The sequence below is a fragment of the Homo sapiens genome, chromosome 14 (genome assembly GCF_000001405.40).
Source record: "Homo sapiens chromosome 14, GRCh38.p14 Primary Assembly".
Lineage (NCBI taxonomy): Eukaryota > Metazoa > Chordata > Mammalia > Primates > Hominidae > Homo > Homo sapiens.
Genome location: NC_000014.9, coordinates 64548871 through 64563793, shown reverse-complemented (window position 1 = coordinate 64563793; position 14923 = coordinate 64548871). Strand labels below are relative to the sequence as shown.

General features: G+C 43.7%; 1 protein-coding gene across 7 annotated transcripts in view, besides 1 other annotated feature; it reads right to left on the bottom strand.

Moving 5' to 3' along the window:
- The window catches only part of PPP1R36 (protein phosphatase 1 regulatory subunit 36), a 39421-nt gene extending 25588 nt beyond the window's left edge, over positions 1-13833 (bottom strand). For 2 of the 7 annotated variants that reach the window (NM_172365.3, XM_011536468.4), the window contains exons 1-3: positions 13728-13833; positions 12809-12873; positions 10933-10980 (exon numbers count right to left, since the gene is read on the bottom strand). In NM_172365.3, coding sequence (NP_758953.1) covers positions 10933-10980; positions 12809-12873; positions 13728-13796 — 182 coding nt within the window. In that variant the 5' untranslated portion in view covers positions 13797-13833. Of the gene's footprint in view, positions 1-10932; positions 10981-12106; positions 12161-12808; positions 12874-13507; positions 13600-13727 lie in introns of those variants that run through there. The other 5 variants (XM_047430998.1, XM_047430999.1, XM_005267354.5 and 2 more) reach the window with 5 other exon arrangements.
- Positions 13678-13967: a silencer, noted in NCBI's record as "silent region_5839". NCBI's record gives its function as "represses an Ori minimal core promoter by ATAC-STARR-seq in GM12878 lymphoblastoid cells {active_cell/tissue: GM12878}" and the evidence as "EXISTENCE:reporter gene assay evidence [ECO:0000049][PMID:35858748]".

Sequence of the window (14923 nt, the reverse complement as noted above, 5' to 3'; positions counted from 1 at the left end):
TTACCCTCTGCCCAAAGTTATGTGTCCCTCTGTTAAGCTGAGGTGCAGATGCAGTAATAGAAGCACTTCCCCTCAACTTTATTCATTCTCTAAATATGGATATCAATAATGAGAACTTTATTATTTCCTTGGTAAATCCCACAAAGAAATTTTGTTAAATACCTCCCCATGACAGTAATAAAGTCAGCTTGGTACTTTCTTCTTCTTCCAGGAGTTTCTCCAACTGCCTGGCAATATTCATGTTGTAGGTTAGCTACCAAAAGCATGTACATAATATTACCTCAAGGGAATGATTTTTTACAATTTTTCCACTGTTCTTTTCTTTCTTTTTTTTTTTTTAAGATGACTGGCACCAAGTTGGCCAGTGATGATTTCTAAGCTTTTCATTCTTTCTGGTGCTGCTCTTATCACTGGTCTCCAAGAATTGGGTATTCATGGGGAAGGGTGTGCTAAAATACTGGGGATGGAGGTGTACAGGGAAAAAGAAATGGAAAAATACCAAATGTTGATGGGAGGATTGCCTGAGCCCAGAAAGTGGAGACTGCAGTGAGCTGAGATCACACCACTGCACTCTAGCCAGCCTAGGTGACAGAGTGAGACCCTGTCTAAAAATAAAATAAAAAAGTGAGGCCGGGCACGGTGGCTCTCGCCTGCAATCCCAACACTTTGGGAGGCCGAGGTAGGCAGATCACCTGAGGTCGGGAGTTTGAGACCAGCCTGACCAACATGGAGAAATCCCATCTCTACTAAAAATACAAAATTAGCCAGGCGTGGTGGCCCATGCCTGTAATCCCAGCTACCTGGGAGGCTGAGGCAGGAGAATTGCTTGAACCCGGGAGGCGGAGGTTGCAGTGAGCCGAGATCATGCCATTTCACTCCAGCCTGGGCAACAAGAGTGAAACTCCATCTCAAAAAAATAATAGTAATAAAATAAAATAAAAAATAAAATCATAAAATCATAGAATTTGGGGGTTATTGGAAGTAAAAAAATATCATCTAGTATAATGCTGTCATTTTACTGATGGAGAACTAGGGCTTGGAGAGGCTGACCCATGTCCCAGTGTTAGAAACTGGTAGATAGTGCCTGCCCTTAGCCAATAGTCTGGCATTTACTGCTAAGCTTTTAGTCTTTATGCTCTGACCTCTGGACACACCTTCTCTACTTCACACTTGTCTGAATGGCTTTCACTTCACTGAAGTCATTCTCTAGCTTGGCTGGTAAGACAGGTTCCACTTTGTGAGTGAGTGCTCTGCCATAGCCCTGAAAGCAGCCTATGCTCACAATGCATTTGGAATCACCAACAAGCAACACTAGTAATAACTGAAATTTTTTTTTTTGAGACTGAGTCTCACTCTGTCACCTAGGCTGGAGTGGCGTGATCTCAGCTCACTGCAACCTCTTCATCCCGGGTTCAAGCGATTCTCCTGCCTCAGCCTCCAAAGTAGCTGGGATTACAGGTGCCTGCCACCACATCCTGCTAATTTTTGTATTTTTAGTAGAGATGGGGTTTCACCATGTTGGCCAGGCTGGTCTCAAACTCCTGACCTCAAGTGATCCATCCACCTCGGCCTCCCAAAGTGCTAGGATTACAGGTGTGGGCCACCGCGCCCAGCCAATAATTGAAAATTGTGCTGTGAATTGAACCTCTGATTGGTGCCCAAACCACGGTCTGGGCTAGCTAGCCTATACCCTCCTACTATCTCCCAGAGTACAAGGTAGATGTAGTTCCCTAATATTACAATATAATCATGTCATTCCCCTTGCCTTGAAGTAAACAGGAAAGAAATTCATATTTTCTCTCTAGAATCCATCACGTAAATGCAGAGGGCTGGACCACTCTTGGCTTCCACACAAGTTAGACCTCTTTGATGGTTCTCAGAGAGTCTTCTCTCAGGCCATGACGAAAGAGTAGGGTTTCCTTGGTTTTATGTCCTCAGGGGAGTCCATGACCTTGGCAAACATTCAGGCAGACTGCTGGTTCTCTGCCAGCTTTGGAATAGGGGCACTTGAAGCAAGAAGAGAAAGGATAGCAGGTACTATGTCAGAGAGAAAAGTCTGCCTCATGGGCCAACCTAGATGATGCCTGTGAGTAAAGGTATTATCTCTTTACCAAATAAGAAATGGGCATGCATGCTGATGAACTATACCAGCACCCTCATTTACTTCTCACGAGGCATTATTATTTCATTTTATAGATTAAGGAGCTGAGAATTATTGAGGCTAAGTAACTTGACAACTGATAACCATCTAGTCAGGGGCAGAGCTAGGATGTGAACCCAGGTCTCCCTTCAAACCATTCTCCACTGCTCTTCCTTAACTACCTATTAATAAATAATGGCCACCCTTTCCCTGGCATTTCTTGCATGGAGGTTAGGGTATCCTGTTGTATTCTAATAGTCATCCCCATCAGGGTACAATCTGCAAAAGTAAGGCAAGAGTTGCCTATGAGTAGGGAGCTAGGTTGTCTCTGAGGGTAAGATTTCCTGTTTCATTTGACCAGGAGAGAAGTCAGGAAGTTCAAGCTGGGGGAGGGGAAAGGGATCATCTTTTCTTGATCTGAGCTTCAGAATACCTAGAAGTCTAGCACTCCTCTTGGCTAGTGGGTATAAAAGTTGGCCTACCCCAGGTGGAAGAGGACTGAAACCTCAGAACTTTCAGGGTCTTAAGTTGATGGGATAAAACTTGATGCCCCTGAGATCAAGATGTTACTTTATGAAACAGATTGTCTGGATTCAGGACACTCTATTTTCCTCCCCTCTCTCTGGCTACAATTTATTGGTCTCCTTCTAAAGCTCCTTTTCTGAGGCATGTTCCTTCCCTAAATGAGGGCCCTCTCAGAGCTTCATATGGTCATTCTTCTCATTCCCTCTGAATAATTCCATCTACTTCACTAGCACCAATAACACACAAATTTATATTCAAGGCTCAGATCTCTCTGCAGACTTATAAAGTGACACATCAGTCTATTGAACACTGTCAATCAGCTGTCTTAGAGGCATCTCAAACTCAGTCTGTCCAAAATAAACACATTCCCCCTTTACTGTGTATTCCCACCTCCTGTTTCCTCCATCTCAGTAAATAAGTACCACCATCAAACCAGGTGCTCACGCTGGAAAATGGTGTCTTCCTTGATTCCTCCATCACCCTCACTCCTCATGGCTCACTAATCACTAAATTCTTAATCTTTTTAAGCTACTTCCCTCTCTTTCCACTGCCACCATCCTAATTTTAGCCATCTGTCAACTGAGTTTCTGTAACTGCTTCTTAACTGATCTCCTTGCCTCCAGTCTTATCTCCCCGCAAACAATTTTCCATCTTTGAGCCAGTCATCTTTCTTTTTTTTTTTTTTTTCTTGAGATAGGGTCTCACTGTTGCTTAGGCTGGAGTGCAGTGGTGCCATCATGGTCACTACAGCCTCTACCTCAAGGGCCCAGATGATTCTCCCACTTCAGCCTCTCAAATAGCTGGGACTACAGGTGTGCACCACCATGCCTGGCTAATTTTTGTATTTTTTGGTAGAGATAGGGTTTTGCCATGTTGCCCAGGCTGGTCTCAAACTCTTGAGCTTAGGCCATCTGCCTGCCTCAGTCTCCCAAAGCGCTGGGATTACAAGCGTGAGCCACTGTGCCTGGCCCAGCCACTTTTCTAAGATGCGGTTCTTTTTTTTTTTTTTTTTTTTTTTTTTTTTTGTGACAGATTCTAGTTTTGTTGCCCAGGCTGGAGTACAATGGCGTGATTTCAGCTCACTGCAACCTCCGCCTCCTGGGTTCAAGCAATTCTCCTGCCTCAGGCCTTCCAAGTAGTTGGGACTGCAGGCACGTACCACCATGCCCAGCTAATTTTTGTATTTTCATTAGAGATGGGGTTTTGCCATTTTGGCCAGGCTGGTCTTGAACTCCTGACCTCAGGTATTTCCTCGCCTTGGCCTCCCAAAGTGCTGGGATTACAGGCGTGAGCCACCACACCCGGGCCTAAGATGCAATTCTAATCACAGGTGACTTCTCTGCTTTGATGACTCCCCTGTGCCATCTAAATAAAGTTCCAATTCCTCACCACAGTATGCAAGATCTTTTATAATCTGGCCCTGGTTTAAATCTACTTTGTCTGGGACCATATACCCAGCCTAATGAACCACCTGCAGTCCCCACATTATGGCCCATGCCCTTGCAGGTCTGGGCTTTGCCCATGTTCCTTCTCCCTAGAATGCACTCTCTTCCTCCCCAAATCAAATGGCCTTTTACCTTGCCAATTCCTATTTTTCCTCAGGTCGTAGCTTAGATATCACCTTCCTTGGGAAGCCTTCTCTGTCTCCTCTGTCCACTGGACTTCAGGAAATCCAGGTCCCATATCTGGATCAGGCCGCTCTGGTGAATGCAACTTTCCTCAGCCCTGGTGCCCAGCCCAGTGTAGCAGTGGCAGCAGTTCCTGGTAAGCGAGCCCAAAGCAGAGCAGCAATCCCAGGGAAAGAGTTCGGTTCCACAGCACCACTAACAACAGACTCTCCTTTCGATAGTAGCCTGGAAGGGTCTGGTTTCTTTTCAGTAAGCAGGGCAGCATGGATATCCCTGCCTGTACCTCCAAATGCCCAAGCTGTCTGCATTACCTCCTTCCCACCACCCAGTGGAAAAGCCGCGGCTCTCTCTTCCAACCCCGACCTCTGATCTTGATCCCAGTCCCACCTTCCTTTCTCTGTTTATTTATTTTTTCTGCCATAACAAAGTCACTCAAGATTTTCCTACCTTTAAATCAAAACTAACAAAAATCCCCAAAACCTTCCCTTAGTCCCAGATCCACTAAAGGCTACTATGTCTTTCCTTCATTCACTGGTAAACCTACTGATAAGAGTACTCTATTTTGGGCTGGGCACAGTGGCTCACACCTGTAATCCCAGCACTTTGGGAGGCCGAGGCGGGCAGATCACCTGAGGTCAGGAGTTTGAGGCCAACCTAGCCAACATTGTGAAAACCCGTCTGTACTAAAAATACAAAAATTAGCCAGCTGTGGTGCCGCGTGCCTATAATTCTAGCTACTCAAGAGGCTGAGGCAAGAGAACCCCTTGAACCCAGGATGGGGAGGTTGCAGTGAGCCGAGATTACACCACTGCACTCTAGCCTGGGGCAACAGAGCGAGACTCCATTTCAAAAAAAAAAAAAGACAAAACAAACCAAAAAAGCAAGAGTACTCTATTTTGGGGGTTTTGTTTATTTGTTTTTTGAGGCAGGGTCTCACTCTGTTGCCCAGACTGGAGTGCAGTGGCAGGATCATGGCTCACCACAGCCTCAACTTTCTGGGCTCAAGTGATCCTCCCACCTCAGCCTCCCAAGTATCTGGAACCACAGGCACACACTACCATGCTCAGCTAATTTTGTCCATTTTTGGTAAAGACAGGGTCTTGCTATGTTGCCCAGGCTGGTCTCAAACTCCTGGGTTCAAGCGACCCTCAACCTCAGGCTTTCGAAGTGCTGAGATTACAGGAGTGAGCCACCACACCCAGCTGAGTACTCTATTTTTGCTACTTTTTCATCTTTATCTCAGATTCTCACCTGTAACCACTGTCATCTGATGTATACCCTACAGCCTTCCTGAAGCTGCTTCTCACCTAGTCCCTATGGATCCGTAATTTGTTAAATCCACAGGCCTTTTTGCAGTGTTTGCCCTCCTCAGAACTCTCCAGCCTGTGACACTGCTGACCCCTCCCTGCCCAATCCTCTTTCTTGGAGAACCTTCTTTTGCCCCTGAGGCCTATCTGTATCAGGGTTTTTCCTCTGACCTTTCTAATCATTCTTTCTCTATTTTTTTTCTTTCACCCAGGCTGGAGTGCAGTGGCACAATCTCAGCTCACTGCAACCTCTGCCGCCTGGGTTCAAGCGATTCTCCTGCCTCAGCCTCCTGAGTAGCTGGGATTACAGGCGCCTGCCACTGCACCTGGCTATTTTTTATATTTTTAGTAGAGACGGGGTTTTACCATCTTGGCCAGGCTAGTCTTGAACTCCTGACTTCATGATCCACCACCTAGGCCTCCCAAAATGCTAGGATTACAGGCGTGAGCCACTGCCCCCAGCCCATTCTTTCTCTGTCTTTGGCCAATTCCTCTTTCTTTGCCTGTCTCCTATTCTTGAGAGCAGTATGAAGATATCTATCAAAGGCTTAAAATGTGTACAATAATTAAGACATATCAAGCCAATTGTAATGTACAAACCTTATTTTAAAGACTGATTGAAACAAACTTAAAAAATAGCAGACAACAGGGGACATTTGAATACCAAATGACTATAACTGAATATATGATATTAAGGAATTACCATTTGTATTTTTAGGTATATAAATAGTAATTCAGTTGTATCCTCCTCCCCTGTTTGTCCCCCTTCTCCTTCTCTTTCCCCTTCTTCTTCTTATTTTATATATTGGGACTCCCAACCTACATCAGTTGTGTTTTCTAAGATAGTGCTTATTCTTTGAGATACATACTGAAATATTTACAGATGATATGATGCCTGGGATTTGCTTCAAAATAATTGAGGAGCAGGGTAGACAGAGGTATAGATATGAAATTGACTTTAATTTGGTACTTCTTGATGCTGTTAAGGGTTTGTTGGGGTTCATTACACCATCTTCCCTACCTTTATATATTTGAAATCTTCTAATATAAAAAGTTATAATGGGCCAGGCATGGTGGCTCACACCTGTAATCCTAGTACTTTGGGAGGCTGAGGCAGGCAGATTGCTTGAGCTCAGAAGTTCCAGACCAGCCTGGGCACATGGCAAAACCCCATCTCTACAGAAAAATTAGCTGGGCATGGTGGCATGTCCCTGTAGTTTCAGCTCTTTGCTGGGGGGCGGCGGGTGGGCGCAGTGGGGGCTGAAGTGGGAGGATCGCTTAAGCCCAGGAGGTCAAGGCTGCACCGAGCTAAGATCATGCCACGGCACTCCAGCCTAGGTGACAAAGTGAGACCCTGTCTCTAAAATTCTAAAATAACATAAAAAGTTTTAAATGTTTACACACACACACACACACACACACACACACACATTTTTTGGAGATTGGGTCTCACTCTACCACCCAGGCTAGAGCACAGTGGCGCAATCATGACTCACCACAGCCTCAATCCTCCCACCTCAGCATCCCAAGTAGCTGGGACTACAGGCGCATACCACCAGGCCCAGCTAATTAAAAAAAAAAAAAAAAAAAAATTGTGGGAACAGAAGTCTCACTATGTTGCCCAGGCTGGTCTCAAACTACTGGGTTCAAGCAATCCTCCCACTTCAGCTTACCAAAATGCTAAGATCGCAGGTGTGAGCCACCACACCCAGCCTATTTATACTTATTTTTTTAAGTTTTTAAAATAATGCTGCAAGAAAAGTAAAACTGGCAACAAAATCAAACCTGCAAGGCAGGGTACAGTGGCTCATGCCTATAATCCCAGCACTTTGGAAGGCTGAGGCAGGCAGATTGCTTGAGCTCAGGAGTTTGAGACCAGCCTGGGCAACATGGTAAAACCCTGTCTCTACAAAAATACAAAAAATTAGCCAGACGCGGTGGCATCTGCCTGTAGTCCCAGCTACTTGGGAGGCTAAGGGAGAATTGCTTGAGCCTGGGAGGCAGAGGCTGCAGTGAGCCTGGGCAATGGGAGTGAAACGCTGTCTCAAAAAAAAAAAAAAAAAAAATCAATCTACAAAGACTTCAGATTTTGGAATTATCAGTCACAAAATGTAAAGTAAATGTAACCAGTATGTTGAAAACACAAAATAAAAATAACTTGGTAACTCTTAACATTGGTGCACTGGTGGTCTTTGGGTATACAACTGTGGTGGAATCTTCACTTTCTGCTTTGTACATTTATATACTTGTTTTTCAGTATATATGTACAATTTTTTAATGAGGAAAAAGATATGAAATGATGGAAATGCAAAATGTTAAGAGAGTGGTGTGTGTAGAGAGAGAGAGGGGAAAATCAGAAGAAGATTTGGAAAGCTATACATGTATACCACAAGATGTTAACAGTTACTTGCTGGGTGGGACTGTGCTTTGTTTTTGCTTATTAGTATTTTGCAATTTTTTTTTAAGAGACGGGGTCTTGCTATGTTGTTCAGACTGCAGTACAGCGGCTGGTGCTATTCCCAGGTGTGATCATGGCATAATATAGCCTCAAATTCCTAGTCTCAAGCAATCCTGTCCCCTCAACCTCCCGACTTACTGGGACTACAGGTACTCACTGATGTTTTTAATCCTTTTCCTATTTAGAAAAAAGAAAAGTGTAGCTCACTGCCAACATTCATTTAATTTTACATAAACACCCTCTTTGAGGCTGAAGCAAATCTGACTGCTTTTCCACATGAAAATAAAATACAAAACTATTCTTAGAGTTATTTCTCAACAGAACTAACATCAGAATCATCTCAATCATCAGAATCGTCTATTTCGGAAAAATCTTATTTATCAATTGAATCTTCGGCTAACAACTGTTCGAGAACGATGTTAACATCATGTGTAGGAATGCTATATTTTCCAGGATTTGAAATTTTCAGCGATAGACAATTACTGTATTTTGTAAATGGAAATACCACTAAAAACCGAATGCTATAAACAGAATGTCTTTTGTTTCCAAAGTCAATATACTAGAATGATGAGAAAATAATAAGGAAAGTGAGACATTTCATGGCAAAGTTATCTCGGGGTAAACGCTGTAGCTGCAAGCGCCACTGGCGAGTATTCTCTAGGCAAACAAGAAAACGGTTAAATAGTATGATTTTAAATAATATATTTCATAATTTTTTTAAGTAGGTATTTCCTAGGGTTCTGGCCTCAATCATTCCACTTCCCACCCTAATTTTGCACTTGCCTTTCTCCTAAGGGCCAAACTCCTGCCTACTGGATTCTTAACCTGGGGGTCCTACAGGGCACCTCGAATAGTATGCGTTTAAAAAAATAAGCTTGTTGCCCTTTACCCACTCCACACACTTACTGGCTCTCCCCACCCCTGCTTATCTTTCCATTCTCCTGCCAGAGCTCATCTGGGTCCTAGTCACCTGCCTCTTGGATTGCTGCATAATTGTCTTGTCTGGCTAGTTCTAATCTCGCCCTGCTAGGTATGAGAGCAGTCACTGAACACGCCTGCTACCTCTGCAGCTTCCATCCCTACCACTGTCTACTCTCAACCACCTCTGCCTCAGCCTGGCCTCTTCACCACCAACTGGAGTAACAAAAGTCTCCAGTAGCACTGTCTCTGACAGAAAAAGCATGTTCCAGCTCAAGAGTCCTCTCTGACTTAGGTTTGAACAGATAGGTTTGAACTAACTATCTGTAACAGATAGGTTTGAACTATCTGTTAAAATTTGTGATGAAGCCAGGTGTGGTGGCTCACGCCTGTAATCCCAGCACTTTGGGAGGCCGAGGTGGGTGGATCACCTGAGGTCGGGAGATAGAGACCAGCCTGACCAACATGGAGAAACCCTGTCTCTACTAAAAATACAAAATTAGCTGGGTGTGGTGGCACATGCCAGTAATCCCAGCTACTCGGGAGGCTGAGGCAAGAGAATCGCTTGAACCCGGGAGGGGGAGGTTGCCGTGAGCCAGGACCGCTCCACTGCACTCCAGCCTGAGCCACAAGAAAGGGACTCCGTCTCAAAAAAAAAAAAAAAAAAAAAAAAAACAATTGTGATGGGATTTGCTCAGACTTTAACAGGGAACCAATACCTATATTTCCAATGAATCCAAATACCAGCTCTGACCTAAAATATACAAGGGTCTGCCTTCCTCTACCTGAGCAGGTAGATGCCCAAGGTAATCCTGATACTATAAGGCTCACCACATTGAGTTACTTAAACACAGAGCAGCTCTACCAAAAACAGGCTGGCTCACCCCGATCTGCTCTTCATAATAATTCCTTTTCCAACTCCCTTAACGGCCCCCCAGTTTGTGTACTCCACGTAGTCCGGGGTTTGGAGTTGTTGTTTTTTTTTTTTTTTTTTAGTTATAACTTACACGTAGTAAGGTGCATAAATCTTAAAGTGTGCAGCGTGATGAATTTTTTTAATATGTATATACACATAAAGCTACCACCCAGATCAACATATAGACCATTTCTACCACCTCCGAAGGTTTCCTTATACTGTCTCCCACTGCTACCAGTTGATAACCCCCTGAAGGTGACCACTATTTTTTATTTCCTCTTATCATTGAAGTTATTTTTTGCCTATTTGTCAAAACTTTTATACAAATGTAATCATGCAGTATTTACATTTTTGTGTCTGGCCTCTTTTGCTCATGTTTTTGTATTATGTCATATAACCTACATTTTAAATCATACCATCACGTAGCTATTCTCCAAAATTAGTGGAAATCAAATCAAACCACAGTTTAAGAACAATTTGGGAACAAACAAAAAGAAACTCTAGTTTATGAATATGAATATTTCACGAATATGAAAGATGATATGAAACTGATAGCTGCGAACTTATTAGTAGGCTCAAACATGAAATAGCACCATTTGGGGTGGGTCGTTAGATTAGCACTGAAAATTAGTTTGAAAAATACTGTCAGCCAGATGCGGTGGCTCACACCTGTAGTCCCAGCACTTTGGGAGGCTTAGGAGGGTGGATCACTTGGGCCCAGGAGTTCGAGACCAGCCTGGGCAACATGGTGAAAAACTGTCTCTACTAAAAATACAAAAAACAAGCTGGGCATGGTGGTGTGAGTACTAGGCTGAGATGGGAGAATCACCTAAGCCTGGGAAGTCAAGGCTGTAGTGAGCCAAGATCATGCCACTGTCCACCAGCCTGGGCAACAGGAGTGAGACTCTATCTCAAAAAAAAAAAAATTGGCACTTAATATTTATACACACATTCTCTTGTGCTTTAACATGTATTTTGACTTCTGTAACTATCTTGTCTGTCTAATCCCAAAGCTATCTCACTGTCTGTCTCACACTCACTGAGGGTGATGTTTCAGGAGCCACTGGACAGAATCTTCTGCGGCAAACCTGAGAAAGAAAACTGAAATTACTGCTTTGAAGTGACGGGTTACTCAGAAATACTGAAATACATATTCTATAAAATGTAAACTTTTGATTTTGACTCTAATAAAATGTTAAGCCTTTGAATTATTTGTTTAATTATCATGAAACATGTCATTATATTTATAATGTAACTATAAACATCTAGTGTAACTATGTATGTCTGCTTAGCCAACTCCTTTCCTGACCTCCAGCCCCCATTTGTCCAACAGCCCAAGACGTATTAATGTGAACAAGTCATAGCAACCTGAAACATGGCCAGTTTTGTCATGTTATTTATTTATTTATTTTTGAGATGGAGTCTCTCTCTGTCGCCCAGGCTGGAGCGCAGTGGCTCAATCTTGGCTCACTGCAACCTCTGCTTTCCAGATTCCAGCAATTCTCCTGTCTCAGCCTCCCAAGTAGCTGGGATTACAGGTGCCCGCCATCACGCCCGGCTAATTTTTGTATTTTTATTAGAGATAGGATTTCACCATGTTGGCCAGGCTGGTCTCAAACTCCCGACCTCAGGTGATCTGCCCGCCTCAGCCTCCCAAAGTGCTGGGATTACAGGCTTGAGCCACCACACCCAGCCACCAGTTTTGTCACTTCAATGCTGTATATGGGTGAAGGGCAATCCCAGCCACCTGATCACCCAAGTCAGACACCTAGGAGCCAATCTAAACAACTGCTTTTCCCTCTCCCTTCACATCCAATCCCCACATCCTATCAATCCTATCCAAACATCCTGTCAATCCTCTCTTAAGTATTTCTTAGTCCTTTGCCTTTCTATTTTTACCAACCTGGAGTTAATTCTAACTCTCGCTATTGCTTACTTGTATAATTATCTGTAATCCTACAACTAGTCTTCTAATGGATCACCTGCATCTATTCTTCCTCTGCTTGAATCTAGCAGATTCTTTGAACATGCTCAATAAATATTTGTTGAGTACCTACTGAAGAAGTTCTGTAGCTGGCTCCAGAGACCTGAGGATGAATAAGATAGTTCCTGCCACTGAGGAGCTTACTGTCTAGTTGAGGGAGACAGCGAGTACATGAAAAGGGCTTTAGCATTAGACAAATCTTGGTTCAAACTATCAGTTCTGCTACTTACTGGCTGTATGACTTTGGTTCAGTTGCTTAATCTCCCTGAGCCTTGTTTCTTCATCTATAAAATGAGGACATTAATGTTCACTTTCCACAGTTGTTTTAAGAATTGGAAAAATATGCAAATATCTGGCACACAATCAGTGCACAACAGATAGTGTCTAGTATTAATTTAGCTATACACTTGTAAGAGTCAGTGTCTTTTTTCATAGAGATTAGAATCAGTTTTTTCTAATTTAGTAATTTTACCTTGTGAGATTCACCATCTATTGCAGCAGATATAATATGTTCCCATTAATGTTAACTATATTTCTCTAACTCAAAAAGGCAATTTTATAATTAAAAACATGGACTCTGTAAATCAAACAGACCTACATTTAAATAATCTTAGTCACCTCTGAGCTGTGTGATTGGGCTAAGTCACTTAATTTTCCTCAAGTCGCTGAACCCTTTGAAACCTCAGTTTCTTCATCTGTAAATTGGTTAACATGCAGCTGTTTCAAAGAGTTGGTAAACATTAGCACAGTGTCTGGTCCATGTGAAGCAGCTGGTAAGCGTTCAGAGAAAGGCTGTTCACTGAAATGATTGTTTCCTTCCAGATGGCAAAGGTTCAGTGGGTATTTATTCTCTATACTCTTCTGTTGCTTTTTTTTCCCCCAGGCACATGTAATTTTTATAAAAACTCTAATAAAGTGTTGTTAAATTTTACCTTCTGAATTCAAGAGTTCTGGTTTCATCTTTCCAGTACCACATCCCTAATCGTAATCCCAACTGCTGTAAAACGAAATGATTGCAGCAAAAATAATTAAAAGCTCAATTTACAATCCATATGCCACAATAAACCTTTAACAATAATTCCTACTTACTAACACATCTTTTAAGTAATAAGAAGGAAACAAAAAACAATGGTTCCTACTAGTCCCTCTTTACACTTTCAGTAAGAGTGTAGAATCCTAAAGCGTTAAACTTGAAGCTAGGATTTTATCGCTTTGATTGATTTTAGGTGTGGCTTCAGTAGAACGGCAGGAAGGAGGGAGAGGGAGAAAGGAAGGGAGGAAAGTAGGAAAAGAGGAAAGAAGCAGCGGAGGAAGGGAAGGGCGAAAGATAGGAAGGAAATTGGGACTACATATAGCTCATCATAGCAATCTACCAATTAATTGAAATTCAGACAATAAACTGATACCCAGGACAGCCTCAGCTGTCTGGTTCTGGAGACTTCCGGGCTCCAACACTGAGCCTGCCCTTTACAGGCAGTGGCAAAAAGTTAAGTACACCCTTTTCACCGTGGAAGCTAGCACCCACCAGCCTTTCTATCCAGAGCGGGGCTGCTTCCCCCGCAGTAGGTCTCCCTATTTTGCAACCAACCAATTAGAGGTGGTGAGGTGGGATTTCGTAAATATCTAACTACCTGCGCAGGGAGCCAGAATTCAATTCTGACCATCTGTCAAATACACCAGAGTTTTTTTTTTTTCTAGGCAAATATGGCCAGGTGTCTTTGAGAACCGCCAGCCCGGGGCGAAGGCGACGACCCGCCTCTGGAGGAGGGCGAGGGGCGCGGCGCCGGTTGGGGGCAGCAGGGCCCGCCTTGCGCCCAGCCCGGGTATGGGGGCGACCAAGGCTGCACTTACATCCATCAAGTAAGGGGTCTGCCCACCTAACCGCTTCCTCCTCGCATAAAACTCGGGCACCCGGTACATGGCCTCGCCCTGGAAGCCATACGGCGTCGCCGAGGATACCGCCCGCAGGCGCCTGCACACGGCTGCCCGGGGCGCGGAGCGGGGCGGGGCGTCGCTTCCGTCCTAGGCCGCGCGGGCTGCGGCCGCACCCAGGCTTCTCCAGCGATTTCTAAAGCCCAGCCTGGTGCCCCGTTTCCCAGTCTTAAAAGCCGTGGCGACGTATTGGCCTATCCATTGTAAAGCCGCCCAGGGCATAATTCTTCATGGCATTCCAACCTTGAACTTCATGAAGTTATTCACTTTACTGTTTTAATTGGAGTAACTACATTCAGTCCTATAGGGAAGAAAGATCCATTTCTTCCTAACTTTCATGATTAGCACTATTATTAAGTTCAAATCCAGGATGAACCTAGGTTGATGGGGAGAGCAGGGTTGAGGTGGGGAAGCAGGGTAGCCTCGTGGAAGAGAACATGGGTACGGAAATAAGGTTTTCATAACAGTTGTGCTGCTTAACAAGCTGTGGAATCTAGGACAAGACTATTCTGATCTTTCTTCTGAAAACACCAAATCAGGGGTTATGTGGATTTTTGGAGTGGTGTGTGTAAAGCACCAGTCTTAAGTACTCAAAATTAGTGTTGCTCAAAAACAAAGAAACTTGCTTAGTGTCAATGGGTATTCAATTGATATTTTTACATTTACACTTTTCAAATCATGTGTCTTGTAATTCCTTCTTGCAACGGAGTTGATAATGCTGATTCTGGCTGATTTTTTTCCTCCCAGCTCTAAGTGAGCAATGCTAGATGATGCAACATGATTGGGAATGCCTAGTATATTCTTTTGTATCACCACAGCTTAATTGGTATGAGAGGCTCATAAGTAGTGGATATATACTCCCATTAACTTTTAAGTTATGTCAGTAGTCATCCCACTGCTTCTTCTATTCCCACCCTCCCAGTCTCACTACTTGGTAATACACAATCACTGGCTACAGTGATTAAATAGTAATCATCTAGATTCATGTTCTGCTCACTTGAGTCCATTCTGGCAGCTGTTCAGTTGGTCCAGGTATATGGAAACCCACTTATATACTGGCCGCAGGCAAGGCTTTCTTACTACAAGATGACACGCTTGAAAAGGAGACTATCCCA